Source organism: Homo sapiens, chromosome X, assembly GCF_000001405.40.
Source record: "Homo sapiens chromosome X, GRCh38.p14 Primary Assembly".
In the NCBI taxonomy this organism is placed as follows: Eukaryota; Metazoa; Chordata; class Mammalia; order Primates; family Hominidae; genus Homo; species Homo sapiens.
The window spans coordinates 107499881-107520849 of NC_000023.11; the positions used below are offsets into that span (position 1 = coordinate 107499881).

The window sequence follows — 20969 nt, forward strand, 5'->3', positions numbered from 1 at the left end:
TGCCTCCACAAGCCAGAGACTGTCTATAACCTCAGCCACCTATAACTGCCCTCCAAAACACCAATACTCTGGGAGGAGCAGGCCAAGAGTGGGGTGCCCAGCTTTTCCTCTCACCATGTTAAAGAGGCGGTGGAAGGGAATGGAGGGGAGGGATTATGTACTCACTAGGGGAAGATCAAATGTATGCCGTAGAAATGTCCCATTTTCCTCTTTATTATTCTTTTAATAAAAACGGCAACACAACAGTACAAATACAATATTAAATGCCAGCTGACACTTGGCCCCATGATGAGGGTATGGAAAGAGTGGCGAGGACTGGGGTGACCTGGAGATCCCATCCCTCATCCATAAGGGGTACTGCTACTTAGCGTCAGCTAATTATTGTTGGGTGGGCCCTTCAGGTCCAGGGTTGCCAGGTAGGATTTTTCAAGAGAAGACAAACATCCAGATTCTTATATAAAATCTGAGGATTTTAAAGTGTTAACAATGAATTAAAGTGCTTTGAAAACACTGTGTAGGTCAAACAAAACACCCTTCCTTCCTAGCCGGGAGGCCTTTGGGCAAGTAACTTAACCTCTTGATCCTAAGTTTCCTAATATGTAAAATAGATATAATAGTAATGCCTACTTCAGGCTGGGCGCCGTGGCTCATGCCTGTAATCCCAGCACTTTGGGAGGCCAAGGCGGGCGACTCACCTGAGGTCAGGAGTTCAAGACCAGGCTGGCCAACATGGTGAAACCCCGTCTCTACTAAAAAATACAAAAATTAGCTGGGTGTGGTGGCGGGCACCTGTAATCTCAGCTACTCAGGAGGCTGAGGCAGGAGAATTGCTTGAAAGAATCGCGTGAATCTGGGAGGCGAAGGTTGCAGTGAGCCAAGACTGTGCCATTGCACTCCAGCCTGGGCGACAGAGTAAGACTCTGTCAAAAAAAAAAAAAAAAAAAAGCAATGCCTACTTCAGAGACTAATTATGAGGATTAAATGAGGTACTATAACTGAAATGCCTGTCACATAGTAAGTGATTAATACATGATAGCTATTAGGATGATTATTATTCCTAAAAGTTTATCTCTTACCTGAGGAGCACCTCTTTCTAGTTGATTGACAGCAAATATCTATCCTTCACCTCTAGTTAGACCCCATGGCTTCCTTAATCAGGGCAATTTAGCTCCACCCTTGCAGGCAGAAAATATTAAAGATACACTTACACAGCAATTGGCAAGCATGTGCATATGGGGAGAGAGATGTGTTTCTTTCTTTATACCCCTTCCCACAGCAACCTCAGTGATGTCTAATTTATTAAGCTAGTCCACAGCATGGGGGAAGGATTGCAAAGGCCTGCAGAATGGAAGAAACTGAGGCATGGAAGCTAGGGCCATAGTTCACATCCACTCTACCTTCAGTTCCTATTGGGGAGGCCAAAGGTTTTTAAAGAAAGCTCTTGGCCACTAAAGCCAATTCTCTTGTCTCCTATTTTTTTTTTTTTTTTTTTTTTTTTTGAGACGGAGTCTCGCTCTGTCGCCCAGGCCGGACTGCGGACTGCAGTGGCGCAATCTCGGCTCACTGCAAGCTCCGCTTCCCGGGTTCACGCCATTCTCCTGCCTCAGCCTCCCGAGTAGCTGGGACTACAGGCGCCCGCCACCGCGCCCGGCCTGTCTCCTATTTTTATATCTTCTTTTCAGGCAGTGGTGCTCACCCCTGGCTGCACCTTAGAATCACCTGGACAGCTTGTAAAAAATACTGACATAGGGGCCTGACCCTCAGAGGTTTTATGACTGCTTACACAATAGTAAGCAAAATATATATGTGTCTGTGTGCGTATGTACACTTTTCTGGGGACTCAGTTGGGGCCTCAAAGGGGCAGTGCAGAAGATGAATGACATAAGCGTGTGGGGTGCCATGGGAATGAGCTGTGCTTCTAGGCCAGCTTGGACATCACACAGTAGCTATCCATGCAAAAAAGCCTTCTCACCTCTCCAAGCCTCAGTTTCCTCACTCATTCCACAGGGATCAGGAATCACTCCTGCCTCATATCCTCTGGTGATTTTGAGGATGTGGTGAACTTACTACATAACATATAAGAAGTGTTTTCAAAAGCCCAGCCCCCCTCTCCACAGGGGAGGGCACATTATTACAAGGTTAAGGAGGGTGTGGGTGGGGAGGCAACAGAGGCAGCAGGGAGCAGCACTACACATTGAGAAAAGGCCATGCACGTTAACAAAGCAGCTCACAAATGAGAGCAAATTAATACCGGGCCCAGCGAGAACAGAACATTCGCACCACAGGGGCAAAGCACCCATTGGAGCAGCTAGGCCTTGGCAGGGAGAAGGATGTGGAATTGCAGAGGGAGGAAAGAGAGGGGCCAAGTGAGGGGGATTTTCAGTGCTAGGGAGGCTTGCTCCGGCTACGAGCAGAAAGGAAGAGGTTAGCTATGAAGGAGGGAAAAAGAATAGCAGCAAGTACCCCAGGTGGGCCTGGGGGTCAGTCAGGAACACCTGACAGCCCTTGGATGAGGAAACCAGTTGTTGCAGGGGTAATAGCAAGAAGGAATATCCCTGCAACTTCAACATATTTGGCCTCATCCCCTGGCAACTGGATCCAGGACACAGGGCTGAGGGTCACCAGGGCAGCTGCACTAACTACGGAGCCAGTCCCCTCCCGATCCTCCACCCCTGCTGCCTACTTTGCCTTCATTCTGTGAAACAACCAGGGTCCATCTGACTCAGAGGCAGGAAGTCGGGCACCAATTCAAAAAAGCCCTTAAAAAAAACCAAAACAATGACAACAACAACGAAAGGATCCCCACCAAAAAAAAGCCCTTGACAAATCTTCATAGAGAAATGGCCTGGGAATGGAGAGGGGCATTGAACTAGAATGGAATCCTGGACTAGAGTGATATTTAAAATCTTGTATTGCCTATATGGCAGGTGCACTGACGAAGCAGTGTTCTGGAAGGCCCCTATGGGGCCAGGCATTAACCCCTAAGCTGCCGGATCTGAAGCAGTGTTGGGGGTGTGCCAGGACAATTAGGGACACTCAGAGGGGTTTGAAGCAGCAGTTGTTTACCCATCACTAAGTAAGGAATGTAAGATTTGAACAAGTGGGATGGTGGTATAGGTGCTCATGGAGGGAATGTCAGCCCTCATCCTAGGGCAGATATAATTAGTCATGGGGGGAATGGGGGGGTTTCACAGGCACATAGCTACCACTGGGAGGCTGAGGGGTACAAGAAAGAGTGGAGGCAATGAACGAATTCTCCCTTTGCTCTCATAGCAAAGGGTGGGTCAGACACTGGCTGCACTGTTGAATAGCAGCACCAAGCCCATGTCCATAGTGCCAGCCCTGCCTCTCTGTTTAACCCCCATGCCTACACAGTGCCATGGCCAGAGTCCTGGAATCAGGGCCCACTCTTGGAGGAACATCACTCCCTTTCCATGCCACACAGCTTAGAATGTGAGCTTATTAAAACAACAAGGAACCCTGGAAATTAGCTAAGTCAGTGATCTCTTGATATATGGGGGAAACTGAGGCCTAGGAAGGGAAGGTGTGGGGTCATACCTCTAATTAGTGTAAGAGCTGGGATGAGCAGCAAGATGTCCCTGTTCCCAGCCTGGTGTATTTTCTATCGCCTTCTTTGCTATTATCTATCCCAAGTCTTCGTTATATTTGAGGGAAAATACCAGAATATCCTCAGGGCCAGCCTTACACATAGATAAACATGATGTGATCAAATGTCTCCTCAGTTGCCTGTCATTGTGCCTGAAATTTCACCATCAGTGATTCATTCATTTGGATCTTGAAGCTTTCTGGTCTTTCATGGGGGCACAGATCCCCTGACAACCACTGGGAGAAAGGCTTCGCAAATTAGACACAGGTTATACAGTTGGGGAGAGCAGTGGCAGCTGGTCCAGTGAAGAAGTTGCAAGCTGGGGTAGGCATGGGAACTTAGGGCAAAAGTGAATCCAGGGTTCAGGCCACCCTGATGGGCAAGGAAGGAGTATTTGATACGCCCACATCCAAAACTTCCATCAAACCCTAGCTTGAGCACTCAGAAAGCATTTCCCCAGGAGACCGCACAGTGACCTGGGAGGCCTGAATCACTGCTGTGTGGCCCATGCTGGGAAGAAGGGCAGGAGAGTGAAGGATAACATCAGCCTGTCTGGAGTGGCCGCAGTGGCACTTTATTAAGAGGAACAGCCTGGATGAGATGGATGTGACAAGGGAATCTATGAAGACATTGAGAGGAGCCTCAGCCGCAAGAGGAACAGGCTCTGAGACTGCCAAGGGAGGCTGGGTGTGGAGTCTGTCTGTTCCACACTTCCCCCAGGGACTTGCTGACTGCAGGTGCCTTGGCTCAAGGCCGGGTGCTTTCTGTTGCTCCCTCTGACTTCCATTCTGGTTCTGCTCCAGAGCTGTGCAGTGCAACTCCAGGCTTGCCTGTGGTTCCCAGGTTCCTTTTCTGCTCTGCCATCAGTTCTAGCGTTTTTATATCCAAGGGGCTTCAGGATTACAAACTAGTGGGAAGGAGAGGGGAAGGGAGGAGGCTAGTGGATTTGTCTGGAAACTGGTTTTGTCTGGCAAGACCCTATATTTCCTTACAGTGTGAATTTACTTGGGGTAGGAGAGAGTAGAAAAGAGTGCTTCTGGAAATTTGGGAAATTGTCTTGAAGCTATGTTTGCATAGCAAGCATAGTACTGTAATTTAGATTGTACGTATACTTGGGGTGGCTTATAGGGGGTGAGAAGAGCAAGCTAAAGACCTTCCCAAAGTCTCCACTAGTTCTGTTGTATATCTCAGCCATCTGGGCAGAATACAGAACCCCCAGCTTCCAACAAAATAAAGCATCCAGCCCCATGGCCAACCTCTGCTGTCTGACATGAGCCCTGTGCTTTCTGAAATGGGTGTCTTTGGAGGCCTCAAGTGGTTTCTACCCAGACACCTGCAGTCCTTGAGTTGGGTGGGCTCAAGTGGGAAGAGGAGATTGCCATTGCCAATAATCAGAAAACCAGAGCCAAGTCTGCCCTGCTGGTTCCATTCACGTCCCCAAAACAATCTCCGAGGTTTAAGGCCAAGTCATCACTAACTCGTGTGTCATGGGCACTGCTGAGGGAGAACGGTATTTCACAGAGCAGAGACTCCCACCCAGGTGCAGGCTGAGTGATTCAAGGAAGATGGAATTTAGTGCAATCAATTTGGGACAGTCAGCCAGGATTTCTTTTAAGCTTTACTTTCCAGCAGCCCCCTCCCACCTTGGAGACAGACTAATCCCTGACATTTGTCTAGTGGCTTTATACTTTTCAAAGCTCCTTCACATCTATTATCTCCATCGAACCACACAAATACTCCCATGAAGTAGGATAAGAAGGTGTTATTATCCCTGTTTGACCAACAAGAAAACTGAAGTCCCCAAAGGATACATGACTCATCCAGGGTCACACAGTTATGTAGTCAAAGAACTAGTGATTCAAATGTGTTTCCTAACTTCCAGCCCTGTAATTTTTCCACCTCCATGCAGACTCCCCTCCATGGAACCACAAAGGTGCCCTGCTTCTAGCACAGTGCCTAGCGTAAAGTAGATGCTAGTAAATATTTGCTAAATGACCAGGAGGCAGAGGTTGCAGTGAGCTGAGATCGTGCCACTACACTCTAGCCTGGACAATAGAGACAGACCTTGTCTCAAAATAAATAAATACCTAAATAAATATTTGCTAAATGAATGACTGCATGAATAAGCTGGGGCAAAGCTGAAAGAAATACGAGTTCTAAAAGTGCTCTTTTTAAAATTATCAAACTAAGAAGGGGCAGGAAATGTTGTGTTATTTCATCATTTTGACCAGAAGGAAGGCATAAGATATCTTTCTCATTTCACAAATGCCATTGCCAAGGCATGAAGATTGGGGTAGCTCCCATACAGAGGCCATGGAGCTTAATGTCCCAACAAAGCTGCCTTCCACTCATCCTTTAAAAAGGAATGGGTGGTGTGAGTCCTTACTCCAGTAGCAGGAAGGAGTCAGAATCAGCCCCATGGGACGAGGATTCTCTCCACGTTGTCTCTGCAAGCCCTGTCTCTCCCCATGTCCCCTAACAGTGGCTCCAGAAGTTCTGCCATGGAAGGGGTGTCTGAGAACACTGGTTGCCTGCTCCTTTAGGACTGCTGCACCGTCACCCCCTAGACACTTCTAGCATAACCCAGACCTCGAAGACTCAGTGACTGTCTCCTGGAATGCCACCTGGACTGAGACTTCTTCCTTTTCTTTTTTCTGTCTCCCATAGCGTCTGGCACATAGTAGGTCCATAATAAATATGGGATTAATGAATTGTCTGAGGTAAAGAGGGATGGCCACTCCCTGGCTCTAGGCACTGCAGTCAGGATCCTGCCTGCCAGGGCCCCATCTCCACAGGCAAACTGACTTAGAGTTGCCGTTTGTTCCCAATCCAGTCAGAAAAAAATGGGGAAAGTGGAGGTAGGGACACAGGTATTCAAATGCTGCTTTGCAATAGCACAAGGTAGCTTTTGAGACAGGTAGCCCGGAATTTGAGATCCTTTGGGGTTTAAATCAGTCCCACCACATATTATTAGTGCTTGTACTGGGGGCTCTTTGCTTTGCTCCTCTGAGCCTCAATTTTATTTTCCGTACAATGGAGAGGATGCTGGAATGAGAAAATAATGGATGTAAAGCACAGTGCCTGGCACTTAGTAAGTAAGCAAGTGGCAGCTGGATTGTCTGCATATCTATGTCCTCCCAGCCTATCCCTTCCCAGGTCCCCCGAGTGGGCTGGTCCCCGGTGGCGAGGGGAGGGGTCCTCCTGGGGGCGCCGACTGTCCCGGGCGGCGGCCGGATTGCGGGTGGGTGAGAGGCAGCAGACGCCGTGTTTACAGCTCTCTCGCTAGTTCGCCACCTCAGCCGCGGCTCTAGGGCTGAGCCAGTCGCCTCCTTCTTTAAGATTCTGGTCACAGCAGGGGCTGGGTTTCTAAGGCAGGTTTCTAAGGTGTCTTCCTACAGACACCGCTGCTGCTACCTTGCTACCTTCAGCGCTGGGCACAGCCAGGGGCAGCGCGAGAGGGAGGCAACGAGAGGGTTCCCGGGCCGGGCAGCAGCCCAGCCCCGGCCCGGAGGGGGGCCCGACGGTAAGTACTGCGCTCTGAGCAGCCGGGTTGGGGGGCACCTGACCATTGAGGCAGGGGTCTGTGGGGTTAGGGGGTCGGCAGTCGAGCGCTAGGGTCCTTACCGGCCCCTCAAAGTGACTTGAGGGCGGCGCTGGCATGGGCCCCCCTCCACCTGGTCTTTGGAGTGAGTTGGCGCGTCGGAAGCAGACATCCATCTCCGTCCCTCACCCCGAGATCCCAAGGATTCGTTTGGGTTGCCTGGCAGCCCTCCGGTCCTTTCGAGGCCACGAAAGAGGAAATTGGAAGGCAAGATACGCGGGGATGAAGTTTTGGACGCTGTTGGAAAAGTGGCGGCGCGAGCGGGAAGTTTTCCGCTGCGGGGTGCGGGGGATCGGGGAGATAAGGGGCGAGGGGAATCAGAAGCTGGGAGGGAAACCACCCGAGTGGAGCAGGGGCGGAGGCGGCCCCTCTGAGTGCTAGGACCCCACTCTCCCCGCCGTTACGCTTCGGAAGTGTCCGGGACTTCTAGCTGCCTCTCCCACCCCTGCCCCTCAGCGCCTCTGCTTCCATGGGGCCGGGATACCCTAGCTGGCCTGCCCTCCGGTAGGGCGGGTTGGAGCCTCAGCGTTCGCGAAGCTCCGCGGGGTGGAGAAGCAAGACCACCCTTCGAGGTGGTGCACCAATCACAGAAATGTTAGCAATCGGGAATATGCAGGAGCATACCTATCACTTTCCTTTCTTAAGCTCTGTAAAACTCAGGGGAGAGGGGCCTGAGATCCTAAAGGCGAGTTTATCCTAACTCAGTCCCTTCTCAGAGAACACCCAGATCTTCCTTCTGTTCCTCCATCCCCAGTCACTCATTTTACTTAGAGTACTGATGATCCTAGTAGCTACTATTATAACTATGTGCCCGACATTGTGCTAAGCTCTTTACCTAGTCCATGTACAGTAAGAGCAGTAGCTGGCATTCACTCAGTGCTTTCTGTGTGCCAGGCACAGTTCTAAGTGCTTAATATGCATTGCCTTGTTTAATCTTCACAACATCCTTATAGGGTAGATACTATCCCCATTTTACGGATGAGGAAATTGAAGCACAGAGAGGTCCACAAGCCCAAGGTCCCACAGCCAGTGAGATGCAGACCTGGGATCTCAAAACAGTTTTACTTCAGCCCTCTCACTGTTAACTACTAGAAATATGATGAGAATTTGGCTTTAATGAAATAGTAAAATCGAGTTTGCTGTCCCTACAGCAAAGTGTATTTATTCTGTAGATCTAAAGTCATGGCCCAGGTGCAAAGAGTTTTGAATCAATTTTCAAATCATCCCCATTATTTCTCCTGTAGAGAAAGGCAAACCGAGTGCGCTATAACAAGACAGCAGAATGTATTAGTAGGTGCCTAGTAATAATGATAACAGTAATTGCTAATAGCAGTTACTGATTGAGCACTTACTTTGCACCAGCACTTCATGTATATTTAATCTTCACATAGGTGCTTTGAAGTAGGCACCCCATGAACCCCATTTTGTAGATGAAGGAACTGAGGCTCAAGAGGTTAACCAATTTGCCACAGATTTGGGATTCCAGCCCAGATCACTAACTCCAGAGCTCAAGTTGGAACTACCCTTTAGAAGATCTGTGCATGAGACAGAGATTTGTCTTCCCTACAGTCCCCTCCTCCCCCAAGCCAGTTGCCCAGAGCTCTACACTATGCTCTCCATTCCCCAGCCCCTCTTTGCACTAAGGAAGTGATTGTACAGGTTGGCGGAGAGAGGGCTTCCTAGAGAAGATGGAGTGTTCTGCATGGATTTGGGTTTTGTTGTTGTACTAAGTGCCATGCCTGTAACATCAATAAGTTGTTCTGCTTTATAATTTTTATTAATTAGACAAGTGTCTGGTCTGCTGGCTTGGAGTTGTTAATACGATATTATGGCTCTATCTGAGTACCTTTATTAGGAATTATTTTCTGAAAAGTTTTTAGAGCCTTACTTGCAATACTGGGCAAAGCCATCTTCCTACCTCCTGGGGAGGGAGGGGGGACTTGTTTCTTGGATATAAGTAATAGTATTGCTGTGCTCATTGATATTCGCCCCGCTCCCCCCAGCTTGGCCTCTGTGAGCTGAAACCTGAAACCTGAATGTGGCCAGGTCCCTTGCTGATGTTCCTGTGTCACATCTGGCCCTGCAGCTGGGTTATTTATAGCTCCTCACTGTTGGCCCTGGCCCATTCATAGAGCTGGCTCCGCAAAGACCCTCTTCAATGTGGGCATAATGGGGTATGTGAGCTTTATAGCTTTGGTCTCTATTACTCTGGCTGGATCTCAATGCATCTGCTGGTGGTCCACCCTTCCTGCCTCCTCTCATGAGAGGGAGACCTTCCATGTGTAGCTTTGGGGTGGTGCGTTAGATATGTGGCTGGCAAGTCCAGTGCTGGGCTGTGCCCCGGTTGTCTCTGTGGCCTCTTCAGAGTGCACTGTACCATTTCATAAGGTGACATGAAAGGAGTCAGTGGGTAGCATTACTCCTTGAATTAAACATTCCCTTCAGTTTTGCCTGAATTTTTTCTATGATTTCTTTTTATGATTGTAGTGACTTAAACACCTAGAGGTTTCCCTCTTTACTGAATCTTCTTAACTTTTCATTTGCTGTCAGGTTTGACATTCCTTTCCTGGAATGTCCTTCTCACCTTTGGTGAGAGGAGGGAGTGGTGGTCTTCTGCTGGGAGTCACAGCACAGTTGGGGCATAGTCTCTTCTGTGCTTACATAGCATCCTCTGCTGCCCTCTGTGGTACCAGGTAACACATGGTTTTATATTAGTCTGTTTACATACCTGCCTCCACCTTAGACTGCAATCTCCCTAAGGGAACAGACTGGGCCTTAATTTATCTCCATATCTCAGCACTATGCTGGGCACATAGTAGGTGCTCAGTAAACTTTTATTACATATATTAATGAATGAATGAATGAATGCTATCTAAAAGCTGGTGGAGGAAGCCCTGATTCACAGTAAGGGACTCTGCTATTATTACCCTTATAAGAAGGGAGACATCAGAGCAGAGCTTGCATTCTTCCATAACAGAGAGCCCCAGCTCTGTGGATTTTAATTATTGAAAGAAAAAAATAAAACAAAAAACAAAACAAAAATTGTAATCCCCAAACCTGAATACTTAGGGAATGGATTTTCTGATTAATAGATTGTTTCTGAGTAACTGAAGGTTGGGCCAAAAAAAAAATCGTTTTTCCTACTCTTTTTGATTCTTCCTAAAATGCCTGGGTCTGCTTTTCTACCTTAGTGAGTCAAGTCTGGGGTCCATCATCAAATCAGTGTTGCCAGATAGAGAGCTTGTGGGTTCTCAGGATTCCTTAGGATTCTGTTTCTCCCAAGCCTGGTTGTATAGTAGGATGCAATCTTCTTCCCCACCCACTCCCTGCCTGTCCCTGATGCATCCAAAGACGAGCCCACAGGTGCTCTGAGGTTTGTAATTTCTCTGTCACTCACCTTCAGGAAACAGACAGGGTTTTCCCAGCTACCAACGTGGGGGAGGTACAGAGTGTTTTGGTGCTAACTCATGCCCTCTGTGCTAATGGTTCAGCATAGCACGTGCTCTTGCCCTTGGTTTTTATTCTTAGGTGGAGGGTTCACCAACTTCATTCCCCTTTTCTGACCACTGTTTAAGAAAGACCTTATAATTCTTCCCTCCCTCTCAGCAGGAAGATGCAATTAGGCAGAATAAAAGGTGTCTCATTGTCCTGAGGCTGCTGTTGGTGTTTCTGGCTGCCTCCAGACAAGGTGACATGAGTTTACCAGGCCTCTGTTCATGTACCTTCCTTTGATCACTGGCTTTTTGGCCTAATTTTTGCCCTGTCCCTGGACTGTGCTCCTGATTGGACAATTCAGAGATGGTGCACTGGAAGGAGTCAGGGGTTGCTCCCTCACAGGAAGTCAGCTTGGCAACTGCTGGGCGTAAGTCCTTGGCTTCAGATACAACCTGCATCATCTCAGGCAAGAGGGAGGAGCAGGTAGACATCTAGGCAAAGCGTTGAGATAGATGTGCCTTTCTCTGTCCAGCTCAGGCTAGACTGGCCTGCCCCTCTCTTCACAAGTTCCCCAAAGGGGCATGGGAGTTGAGGATGGAGGATAGAACCTAGAGTCCCAACGGAGCCAGACATGAGAGAGGGAGTGAGAGAAAGGCCTACTCATTGTCTATGCCGGGTCAGCTATGCTTCTTGCTTCCCAACTCATCTTTCCCCAGCAACCCCCTCATCTACTCAGGCTATTGTGTTCATGCCTCGTGCCACATATGCCTGTTCCCTTCTGTCTCTGGGCCTGTTCTCAGTGCCCTCCGTCTCCACTTGCTCAAATCTGGCCCTTCCTGCCATACCCAGCTGCAGTCATCTTCTAGAAAGCTTCCCCCTGCTGCTTCTGGAAATCAGCAGAGGGTGGGCAAGGGGGAAGTCAGTAACCTCCAAGCTCCCTGCCAACTCTGAGATTCTCCAGGAGTTTGATGAGCATCAGGGGTTGGGGGCATGGAAGGCTGGTGGCCCAGGCCATCGATGCCTTAGTAGCCTCACAGGAAGGAAGCAGATGGCACAGCCAGCCAGCTGAGTAGGCCCACATTTGGCTTCAGGAGGCTTTGCCCAGAGCCCTGTGCAGCAGGCACCTGCCAAACAGCCCCCAGAGGGGTGCTATTTGAGCCCTGGGTCTTTGGCTGCTGGAGGCAGCTACTTGTTGGGAAGTTCCCAGAAGCTCCTGCCCACACCTGCTCCCCCTGTCTGCCCTCCAAGGTTTGTTTACAGTTCGGCCTTTGACAGGCTGAAGTCTGAGATCTAAGAGGAGAGAGAGATCTGGGTGGCCGGGGACCCTCTTCTGGCTTAGCATTCTGTGCCAGGGCTCTGCAGCCCAGCTTGGCCTCGGAGAGATGTGTTCACTGAGGGGAAGAATTCAGGCCTGCTGATCTTTTCCCTGCCAACTCCACTTTTCCCATCATGACCATTCCCTCCACCTTCTGGAATTCTCTCCACTTCCTACTTTCTTTTTTTTTTGATCTCCTCTTTCACACACACACACACGCGCACACACACACACACTCACACTCACACTACAGCCTCCGGTGAGTGGGAAATTGGCCTAAGTCAGGAAGGTGTCCTGGGTCTCTTCCTCATGCCGTTTCTGATTTGCCCCTTGCCTGCTGCATCCCCATCTGTGAGATGGGGAGGGTGCAGTTAGGCTCTCAGTATGGCAAAATAGCAGTCCCCTCCCCTAGAGCTTCATCACCCAAGGTCCTCTACCAGAAGACTGTCATTACCATGTGGCCCTTTAGCAGTGGTGGGAGCCCTGAGGGCAGAGCTGGTGGGGGGCAGCTCAAGAGCATTTTTAAAAGAGCAGGTGAAGAACTGGGGAGCACCTCCAAAAAGCCACGACAATCAGAAGTGGCTGCATAGCTTCTGCAGTGCTTGCCTTCCCCAAGCCTAAACTTTCCTCTTCACCGTCTGCAAGGCCCTCCTCTTGTCTCATTTCTCCTCTTTGTCTTGTTTTCATGGCCTCTCTTTTCCTCTCCTCCTTTGCTCTGCCTGGTCCCCTTTCCTGCTCAGCTGTCTTCCCCTCTTGACTGTGTCTTTCCCTTCATTCCTCATCTCTCCCGTTCTGGCTCAGTCAATCCCTATATATCTCTGCCTCTTTCAGAATTAGTTGGTGTGGTACATGGAGGGTGGGGGCTGGGGTGCCCAGGGCTCCTTGGTGTGACATGACAACTCCTTCAAGCTCCTATGAATATTTCATTGCTCCAGTTCCCCCTTGCTGCCTCTGCCAGTGACAGGTGAGTGGAGGCTAAAACGCAAGGATCTCCCCACTAATTCTTCCACAGCTCAGTGGCAGCAGCTTCAGACCTTGTGACACACAGTGCCATATGGCAGCAGCCTCACATCTGGCACAGCCCTCACATCTGTCACCTGGCTGGCAGCCCCAACAGGCAGGGTTTAGGAGCATGTCTGGACCTATTAGACAACATGTCTGAATTTATTGACTATAGCTTCAGGAGGGAGGAGGGGACAGGGGAGGGGACAGCTGTATAGAGGGTCCTCTGCAGTTCCCTCTTTGAAGCATTATGGGGTTGGTCTTTTGCAAGGTGACTCCAGGTTTCCAGGTATTTGTGAAAGGAAAGATGACCTTGGTCTCTCCCCCTGCTCCCTCCTGACCTGCTAGAATGGGTGACAGGTGTCTCCATTCCAGCCCACTGGGGAAAAGCAACTGTTTGGACAACCAGAAAAAGAATCCAGATACCACCATGTTTTCCAGACGATGCCTCTCCAAGCTCAGCTGAAGAGGAAGTTGCAGGGCCATGAAGACCTGCAAGGGAAATAGAGAGAAAGCCCTAGGAAAGTAACCAAATCATCTACCCAGAGACTCTCAGAGTGGGAAGGACTATTCAAAGTCACCCTGCCCATCCTCCTGCCCCTTGCCATTCTGAAAGGATAGTTGTCTACCCTTAAAAAATTCCTTCCCTGAGAAGGAATAGCTGTTGGATTTCCCACTGTCACTCCCCTAAAAAGGCTGGAACCATGCCGTCTCCCATTCCTTCTTAGCTTGTAGCCCTCCCTGTACTCTTTCTTTGACTGCATTCTCTCTCTGACTTTGTCTTTGCACAGAGATGTTGAGGGGTTTCTCCCATGGGCCAGACTTCCCATTCAGAAACCTGCCTTTCACAGGCTGAGACACAAACCGTAGGCATTTGATAATAAACTGCATGTAAAGGCCAGAGGATTCTAATCTGTATGCCTCAAATTCACTTCTATTCATTCATTGGTTGATTTAAAAAATACTAAGCACTTAATTGTGTGCCAGGTATCATATCAAGTGGAGGAGATATACTGTTGTACAAAAAAGACAGAGTTCCTACTTTTATGGGGTTTAAAGCCAAATAATCACACAAATGAATATATAACTACAAATCGTGATGAGTCTGCAGAATGAAATGAACAGGTTGCAATAGTAGAGAATAACCAAGGTGAAGTTTCCAGGGAAGTTCTCTGTGAGGAGGTGATATTTAAGTGGAGACCTAAAGGATAAATTCAGCCATATGAAGAATGGGAAAAGAGGTTTCCAGGAAAAAGGAAGACCAAGTGGAAATGCCTTAAGGTGGCAAAGACCTTGGTGTGTTGAGAAACTAAAAGGAGGCCAGGAGGGCCAGATTGTAGGCAAGAGGAAGAGTAGCATGGAGGGGTGGGGGAGTTGGCAGGTAGGGCAGAAAGAGATCACGCAGGGCCTTATGGGCCACACAAAAGGAGTTTGGATATTATTCGCTTGCAGTAGGAAATGTCTGAAGGGTTTTAAGCGGGGGAGTGACAGGATCTGATATGGACTTTTTGCAATATCTGTAGAGACCAGACTTGGAAAGGGACAGCAGTGGATACAGGGAGACCAGTAAGGAGGCTGCTGCAGCAACTCACAGGAGAGATGATGGTGGCTTGAACTGGGTGACAGCCATGGAGAGGGAGCGAGCTTGTCGGATCCCGGATGAGCTTTCTTTTTTCCTTTTCCTTTTCCTTTTTTTTTTTTTTTTGACAGAATCTTGCTCTGTCACCCAGGCTGGAGTGCAGTGGTGCGATCTCGGCTCACTGCAACCTCTGCCTCCTGAGTTCAAGTGATTCTCCTGCCTCAGCCTCCCGAGTAGCTGGGATTACAGGTGCGTGCCACCACGCTCAGCTAATTTTTGTATTTTTAGTAGAGACAGGGTTTCACCATGTTGGCCAGTCTGGTCTCGAACTTCTGACCTCAGGTGATCTGCCCACCTCAGCCTCCCAAAGTGCTGGGATTACAGGTGTGAGCCACTGTGCCCGGTCTTGGATGGGTTTTTAGGTGACAGCTGACAATACTTATACAATACTGAGGGACTAGGTGGGGAGGTAAGGGAAAGGGAGAGACAGGCCTCAAGAATGACTCTCAGGTTTCTGGCTTAAGTAATTAAAGAGATGATGGTGCCATATGCTGAGATGAGGAAGGCTGAGGGAAGCCTAGGCTTGAGAGGGAAAATAAATCAAGAGTTCAGTTTTGGACATGATAAGTTTGAGATTCCTGTGAGGCATAAAATTAAACATGTCAGAGTATATGAGTTTTGGAGCTCACAGAGGAGGTGTGGTTAGAATGCAAATTTGGGAGTTGTCTGAATATAGATTGTATTTAAAACCAGGGGACTGGATGAGATCACCTTAGGAAAAAGAATAGAGAGAGACTAGAAGGCCTGGAACTGAGTTCCAAGGAACCCCAATATCTAGTGATTAAGTCGGGAAGGAGAAACCCACGAAGGAGACTAAGAAAAAGTGGCCAGAGAGGTTGGAGGACAGTCTGGAGGTAGTCCTAGAAGCCAGGAGAGGAGAATGTTTCGGCAAGGATGAAGTGGCTAACTGTCTACAGCTATTGAGAAGTTGAGTAGGTAAGGACCGAGAGATGACCATGGAGGCCAATGCGGACCTTAACAAGAGCAACTCTGCAGAGTGATAGATGTGGAAGCCAGGGGATAGTGGATTGGGGAGCAAATAAGAGATGAAGAAGTCTTGTGTCCTTAATGCAATGTCCTTAAAAGAAAAAAAAGAGATGAAGTGGAGACATATGTGTAGAAAACGTTTTTGAGGAATTTTGTTGCCCAAGGGACCAGGAAAATGGGGCAGACACTGCAAGGGAATTGTGGAGTAGAGGGAGGTGTATTTTGTTTGTTTTCTTAAGGATGGATTATTTCCATCAGCATGCTAGCATGATTCTGGAGCGGTGGAGAGATTGGTAATTTAGGAAAGAGAATGAATGCCCAAAGGAGTAAAATCCTTGAGAAGATAAGAGGGGATGGTACCAGAACATAAGTAAGGAGATTCGCCATGATAGAAGAAAAGAAACATCCTCCATTTTTTTAAATTATACTTTAAGTTTTAGGGTACATGTGCACAACGTGCAGGTTAGTTACATATGTATACATGTGCCATGTTGGTGTGCTGCACCCATTAACTCATCATTTAACGTTAGGTATATCTCCTAATGCTATCCCTCCCCCCTCCCCCCACCCCACAACAGGCCCTGGTGTGTGATGTTCCCCTTCCTGTGTCCATGTGTTCTCATTGTTCAATTCCCACCTATGAGTGAGAACATGTGGTGTTTGGTTTTTTGTCCTTGCGATAGTTTGCTGACAATGATGGTTTCCAGCTTCATCCATGTCCCTACAAAGGACATGAACTCTTCATTTTTTATGGCTGCATAGTATTCCATGGTGTATATGTGCCACATTTTCTTAATCCAGTCTATCATTATTGGACATTTGGGTTGGTTCCAAGTCTTTGCTATTGTGAATAGTGCCGCAATAAACATACGTGTGCATGTGTCTTTATAGCAGCATGTTTTATAATCCTTTGGGTATATACCCAGTAATGGGATGGATGGGTCAAATGGTATTTCTAGTTCTAGATCCCTGAGGAATCGCCACACTGACTTCCACAATGGTTGAAAGAGTTTACAGTCCCACCAACAGTGTAAAAGTGTTCCTATTTCTCCACATCCCCTCCAGCACCTGTTGTTTCCTGACTTTTTAATGATCGCCATTCGAACTGGTGTGAGATGGTATCTCACTGTGGTTTTGATTTGCATTTCTCTGATGGCCAGTGATGATGAGCATTTTTTCATGTGTTTTTTGGCTGCATAAATGTCTTCTTTTGAGAAGCGTCTGTTCATATCCTTCGCCCACTTGTTGATGGGGTTGTTTTTTTTTTTCTTGTAAATTTGTTTGAGTTCTTTGTAGATTCTGGATATTAGCCCTTTGTCAGATGAGTAGATTGCAAAAATTTTCTCCCATTCTGTAGGTTACCTGTTCACTCTGATGGTAGTTTCTTTTGCTGTGCAGAAGCTCTTTAGCTTAATTAGATCCCATTTGTCAATTTTGGCTTTTGTTGCCATTGCTTTTGGTGTTTTAGACATGAAGTTTTTGTCTATGCCTATGTCCTGAATGGTATTGCCTAGGTTTTCTTCTAGGGTTTTTATGGTTTTAGGTCCAACATTTAAGTCTTTAATCCATCTTGAATTAATTTTTGTATAAGGTGTAAGGAAGGGATCCAGTTTCAGCTTTCTACCTATGGCTAGCCAGTTTTCCCAGCACCATTTATTAAATAGGGAATCCTTTCCCCATTTCTTGTTTTTATCAGATAGTTGTAGATATGCGGCATTATTTCTGAGGGCTCTGTTCTGTTCCATTGATCTATATCTCTGTTTTGGTACCAGTACCTCCATTTTAATAGGGAAAAAATAAAACATGGGTACAGATGTAGACAGGGTAGTGTATAGATTTGGTGGCGGTAAGATGAAGGAGCTCTCATCTGATAGCTTCTGTTTTTTTCAGTAATCTATGGGATGAGGTCGTCAGCTGAGATTTCTTGGGGAAAATGGGAAAGTGAGGAAGATGGAGGAGAGAGGGCGAGTGATGAAATAGTCATTTTAGAGACAGAGAAAGTGTTGACCATGGCCGGGCGTGGTGGCTCACGCCTGTAATCCCGGCACTTTGGGAGGCCAAGGAGGGCGGATCACCTGAGGTCAGGAGTTTGAGAGCAGCCTGGCCAACATGGCAAAACCTTGTCTCTACTAAAAAGTACAAAAAATGGCCAGGTGTGGTGGCAGGTGCCTGTAATCCCAGCTACACAGGAGGCTTAGGCAGGAGAATTGCTTGAACCTGGGAGGTGGAGGTTGCAGTGAGCCGAGATGGTGCCATTGCACTCCAGCCTGGGCATCAACAGCGAAACTCTGGGAAAAAAAAAAAAAGAAAGAAAGAAAAGAAAAGAAAAGAAGGAAAGGAAGGAAAGAAAGAAGGAAGGAAGGAAGGGAGGGAGGGAGGGAGGGAGGGAGGGAGGGAGATAAATGGCCAGACAGAATTGAGAGCATATACCCATGGATTTTAAAGTGAAATCCAGCTACCCAGTTGTGTGATTTTTCTCCAGCACCCTTCAGCTACTCCAATGCAGGCATGGAGAATTGAGTTCATCGAGGGATGAGATATAGCAGGGGGAGAGGAAGTAAGGAAGTTGAAGGTGTTTGGAAGGGAATGATCATAATGATAGACCAGGAACTCTAAGCTGGACATGAAGAGAAGTGAAAATAAAAAGGAACTTGAAGGAGAGTAAGAATGGTAATAAGTAGGAGAAAGTGCTGGCAGATGGGCATCTATGAAAAGGTGACATTTAAGCTGAGACCTAAAGGATGAAGAGCCAGCTCTGTGAAAAATGAGGGAAGAGATTTCTAGTAAAAGGGAATATCAAGTGGGAAGTGAATAGGTGATCATGACGCGTTCAGATGCTTCCTGCAGTGGGAGCCCTTGTGGAGGTAAACTGGAAGAATGGATGGTGTCGTAGAGAGTGGGATATTGGGCATTGAGATTTGGGGGTAGTGCAATATCTGATAACCCAAAGTCTAGGTAGGTGATGATGGAGTGAGTGAAGCGGAAGAAGCAATTGTTAGAGGTCTCCTCGTCACCCTGTGAATGTTGAATTCACCAATAATGATATCAAGAGTTGGAGTGGACATACCCATTAGGAAGGCTATTATAAAAAAAAATGAAAAACACAGAAAATAATAAGTATTGGAATGTTGGCAAACTGTGGAGAAATTGGAATCTTTGTGTATTGCTGGTGGGAACATAAATGGTACAGCTGCTGTGGAAAACAGTATGATGATTCCTCAAAAAGTAAAACATAGAATTACCTTACGATTCAGCAGTTCCACTTCTAGGTATGTACCTGAAAGAATACAGGGGCTGCAACAGATATTTGTACACCCGTGTTCATAGCTACATTGTTCACAACAACCAAAAGGTAGAAACAACCCAAATATGCATCAACAGATTAATAAAATGTGATACATACATACAATGGACTATTAGTCTTAAAAGGAAGGAAATTCTGACACATGCAGCAATATGGATGAACCTTGAAGACATTATGCTAAGCAAAATATGCTAGTCACAAAAAGACAGATATCGTATGATTCCTCTTATATGAGATACCTACAGTAATCAAATTCATAGAAACAGAAAGTAGAATTGTGGCTTCCATGGGTTGGGAAGGGAGGGGTAATGAGGGATTACTATTTAATGGGTACAGAGTTTCAGTTTGGGAAGGTGAAAAAGTTGTGGAGATGGATGATGGTGATGGTTGCATAATAATGTGAGTGTACTTAATGCTGTAAAACTGTACTTCTAAAAATGGTAGGCTGGGCATGGTGGTTCACACCTGTAATCCTGACATTTTGAGAGGCTGAGGTGGGTGGATTGCTTGAGCCCAAGAGTTCAAGACCAGCCTAGGCAATATGGCAAAACCCCATTTCTACAAAAAAATATAAAAAATAGTCAGGCAGGGTGGCACACGCCTGTGGTCCCAGCTACTTGGGTGTCTGAGGTGGGATTGCTTGAGCCTGGGAGGTCAAGGCTGCAGTGAGCTATGATTCTGCCACTGTACTCCAGCCTGGGCAACAGAGTGAGACCCTGTCTCAATCAATCGAATCAATCAATAATAAAAATGGTTAAAATGGTAACTTTTATGTTATGGATATTTTACCATGATTTCTTTTAAGGAGTGGAAGGAAAAATCACATGTGACTGGGAACTAAAGTCCTCAGTGAATGTGGGACCAACTTAGGAAATCTGTAGATAACAATGAGGAGAAAGAGAGTGGTAGAGGTGGGCGGCAGGCAGGTTCCTCAAAGACGCAGGATATTTTGCAGAAAGAAGGAGGAGTAATGGCCTGGAGGCAGCATTGGCAAGCAAGGAGGATACTTATCTCACCTGCAGGTCCCGGAGGACTTGAATTTTGCAAAAGAAAAACAAAACAAAGCAAAACCAAAAACCCCAGTTTCCATTTGAGAGGGCTGGTGGGGAAGTGGTGCCCTCAAGGAATACACAGGTCTGAACCGGGAAAGAAGGTGAAGGACACTTTCCAAGAATAAATTGAGGCTATAGGAGAGTTTGTTGTTGACTGAGAGTTCCAGTGGACACACTGGAAGGATTTGAAAGGGAGGAGAAAAATGGGATAAGAGTGTAAACAGACTGCTATGGGGAGGAGAGTCAGGGTTCTAAGGACCAGAGGCAAGTAGACTTCTTTCTGGTGGTGACTGAAGTGAACAGAAAGGCAAGGCCTTATGGGATGAGTCTCACATATGGGAGGGTGGGCTTAGAGGCATGTAGAAAGCCAGTTCTGGGGCTGGAGTCTCTAATAGGTGAGCCGCTGGGTGTGGGGGCTTCAAGGGAGGCTGCTCTTACAGACAGCATTGAAGTGGCCCTCAGCTCACTTAGGGAAGAGTAGTCTGCCAAATCCTCCTACGAAGCCTATCTCATTGCCTTCTAGAAAACTACTTTAAGCTGGGTGTGGTGGCTCATGTCTGAAATCCCAGCACTTTGGGAGGCTGAGGCTGGCAGATCACTTGAGCCCCAGAGTTCGAGACCAGCCTAGCCAATATGGCAAAACCCTGTCTCTACTAAAAATACAAAAAAAAAAAAACACACACAAAAATTAGCCAGGCATGGTGGCATGCACCCGTAGTCCCAGCTCCTGGGGAGGCTGAGGTGGGAGGATCATCTGAGCCCAGGAAGTCGAGGCTGCCTTGAGCTGTGATGGTTCCACTGGACAATGAGAGTGAGACGCTGCCTCAAAAACAAAACAACAACAACAACAACAAAACCCCTACTTTATGCACAGGTTCTTGGCACAAATTGTGGAAGATGATTGGCCCTGGAGTTAGGCAGACCTGGGTTCACATTTTGGTGCCACACAATATATATAGTTGTATATCCTTCAGCAAATTACTTAATCTCTCTTCCCAAATCTCAGTTTCCTTATCTGTAAAATGGA

At 47.4% G+C, this 20969-nt stretch overlaps 1 protein-coding gene and 1 long non-coding RNA gene across 3 annotated transcripts in view, besides 1 other annotated feature; one reads left to right on the plus strand and one right to left on the minus strand.

Annotated features, from left to right (window-relative positions):
- Positions 1 to 20969, plus strand: part of FRMPD3 (FERM and PDZ domain containing 3) — a 155600-nt gene that overhangs the window by 50229 nt on the left and 84402 nt on the right. The window lies entirely within an intron of this gene.
- Positions 6302 to 6802: an enhancer, noted in NCBI's record as "H3K4me1 hESC enhancer chrX:106749412-106749912 (GRCh37/hg19 assembly coordinates)". NCBI's record gives its function as "activates a minimal SCP1, AML or CMV promoter by ChIP-STARR-seq in primed H9 embryonic stem cells {active_cell/tissue: H9 hESC(primed)}" and the evidence as "EXISTENCE:reporter gene assay evidence [ECO:0000049][PMID:30033119]".
- Positions 13103 to 20969, minus strand: part of FRMPD3-AS1 (FRMPD3 antisense RNA 1) — a 32839-nt gene continuing 24972 nt past the window's right edge. The window contains exon 2 of the long non-coding RNA NR_046750.1: positions 13103 to 13452. This is a non-coding gene — a long non-coding RNA (FRMPD3 antisense RNA 1). The remainder of the gene's footprint in view (positions 13453 to 20969) is intronic.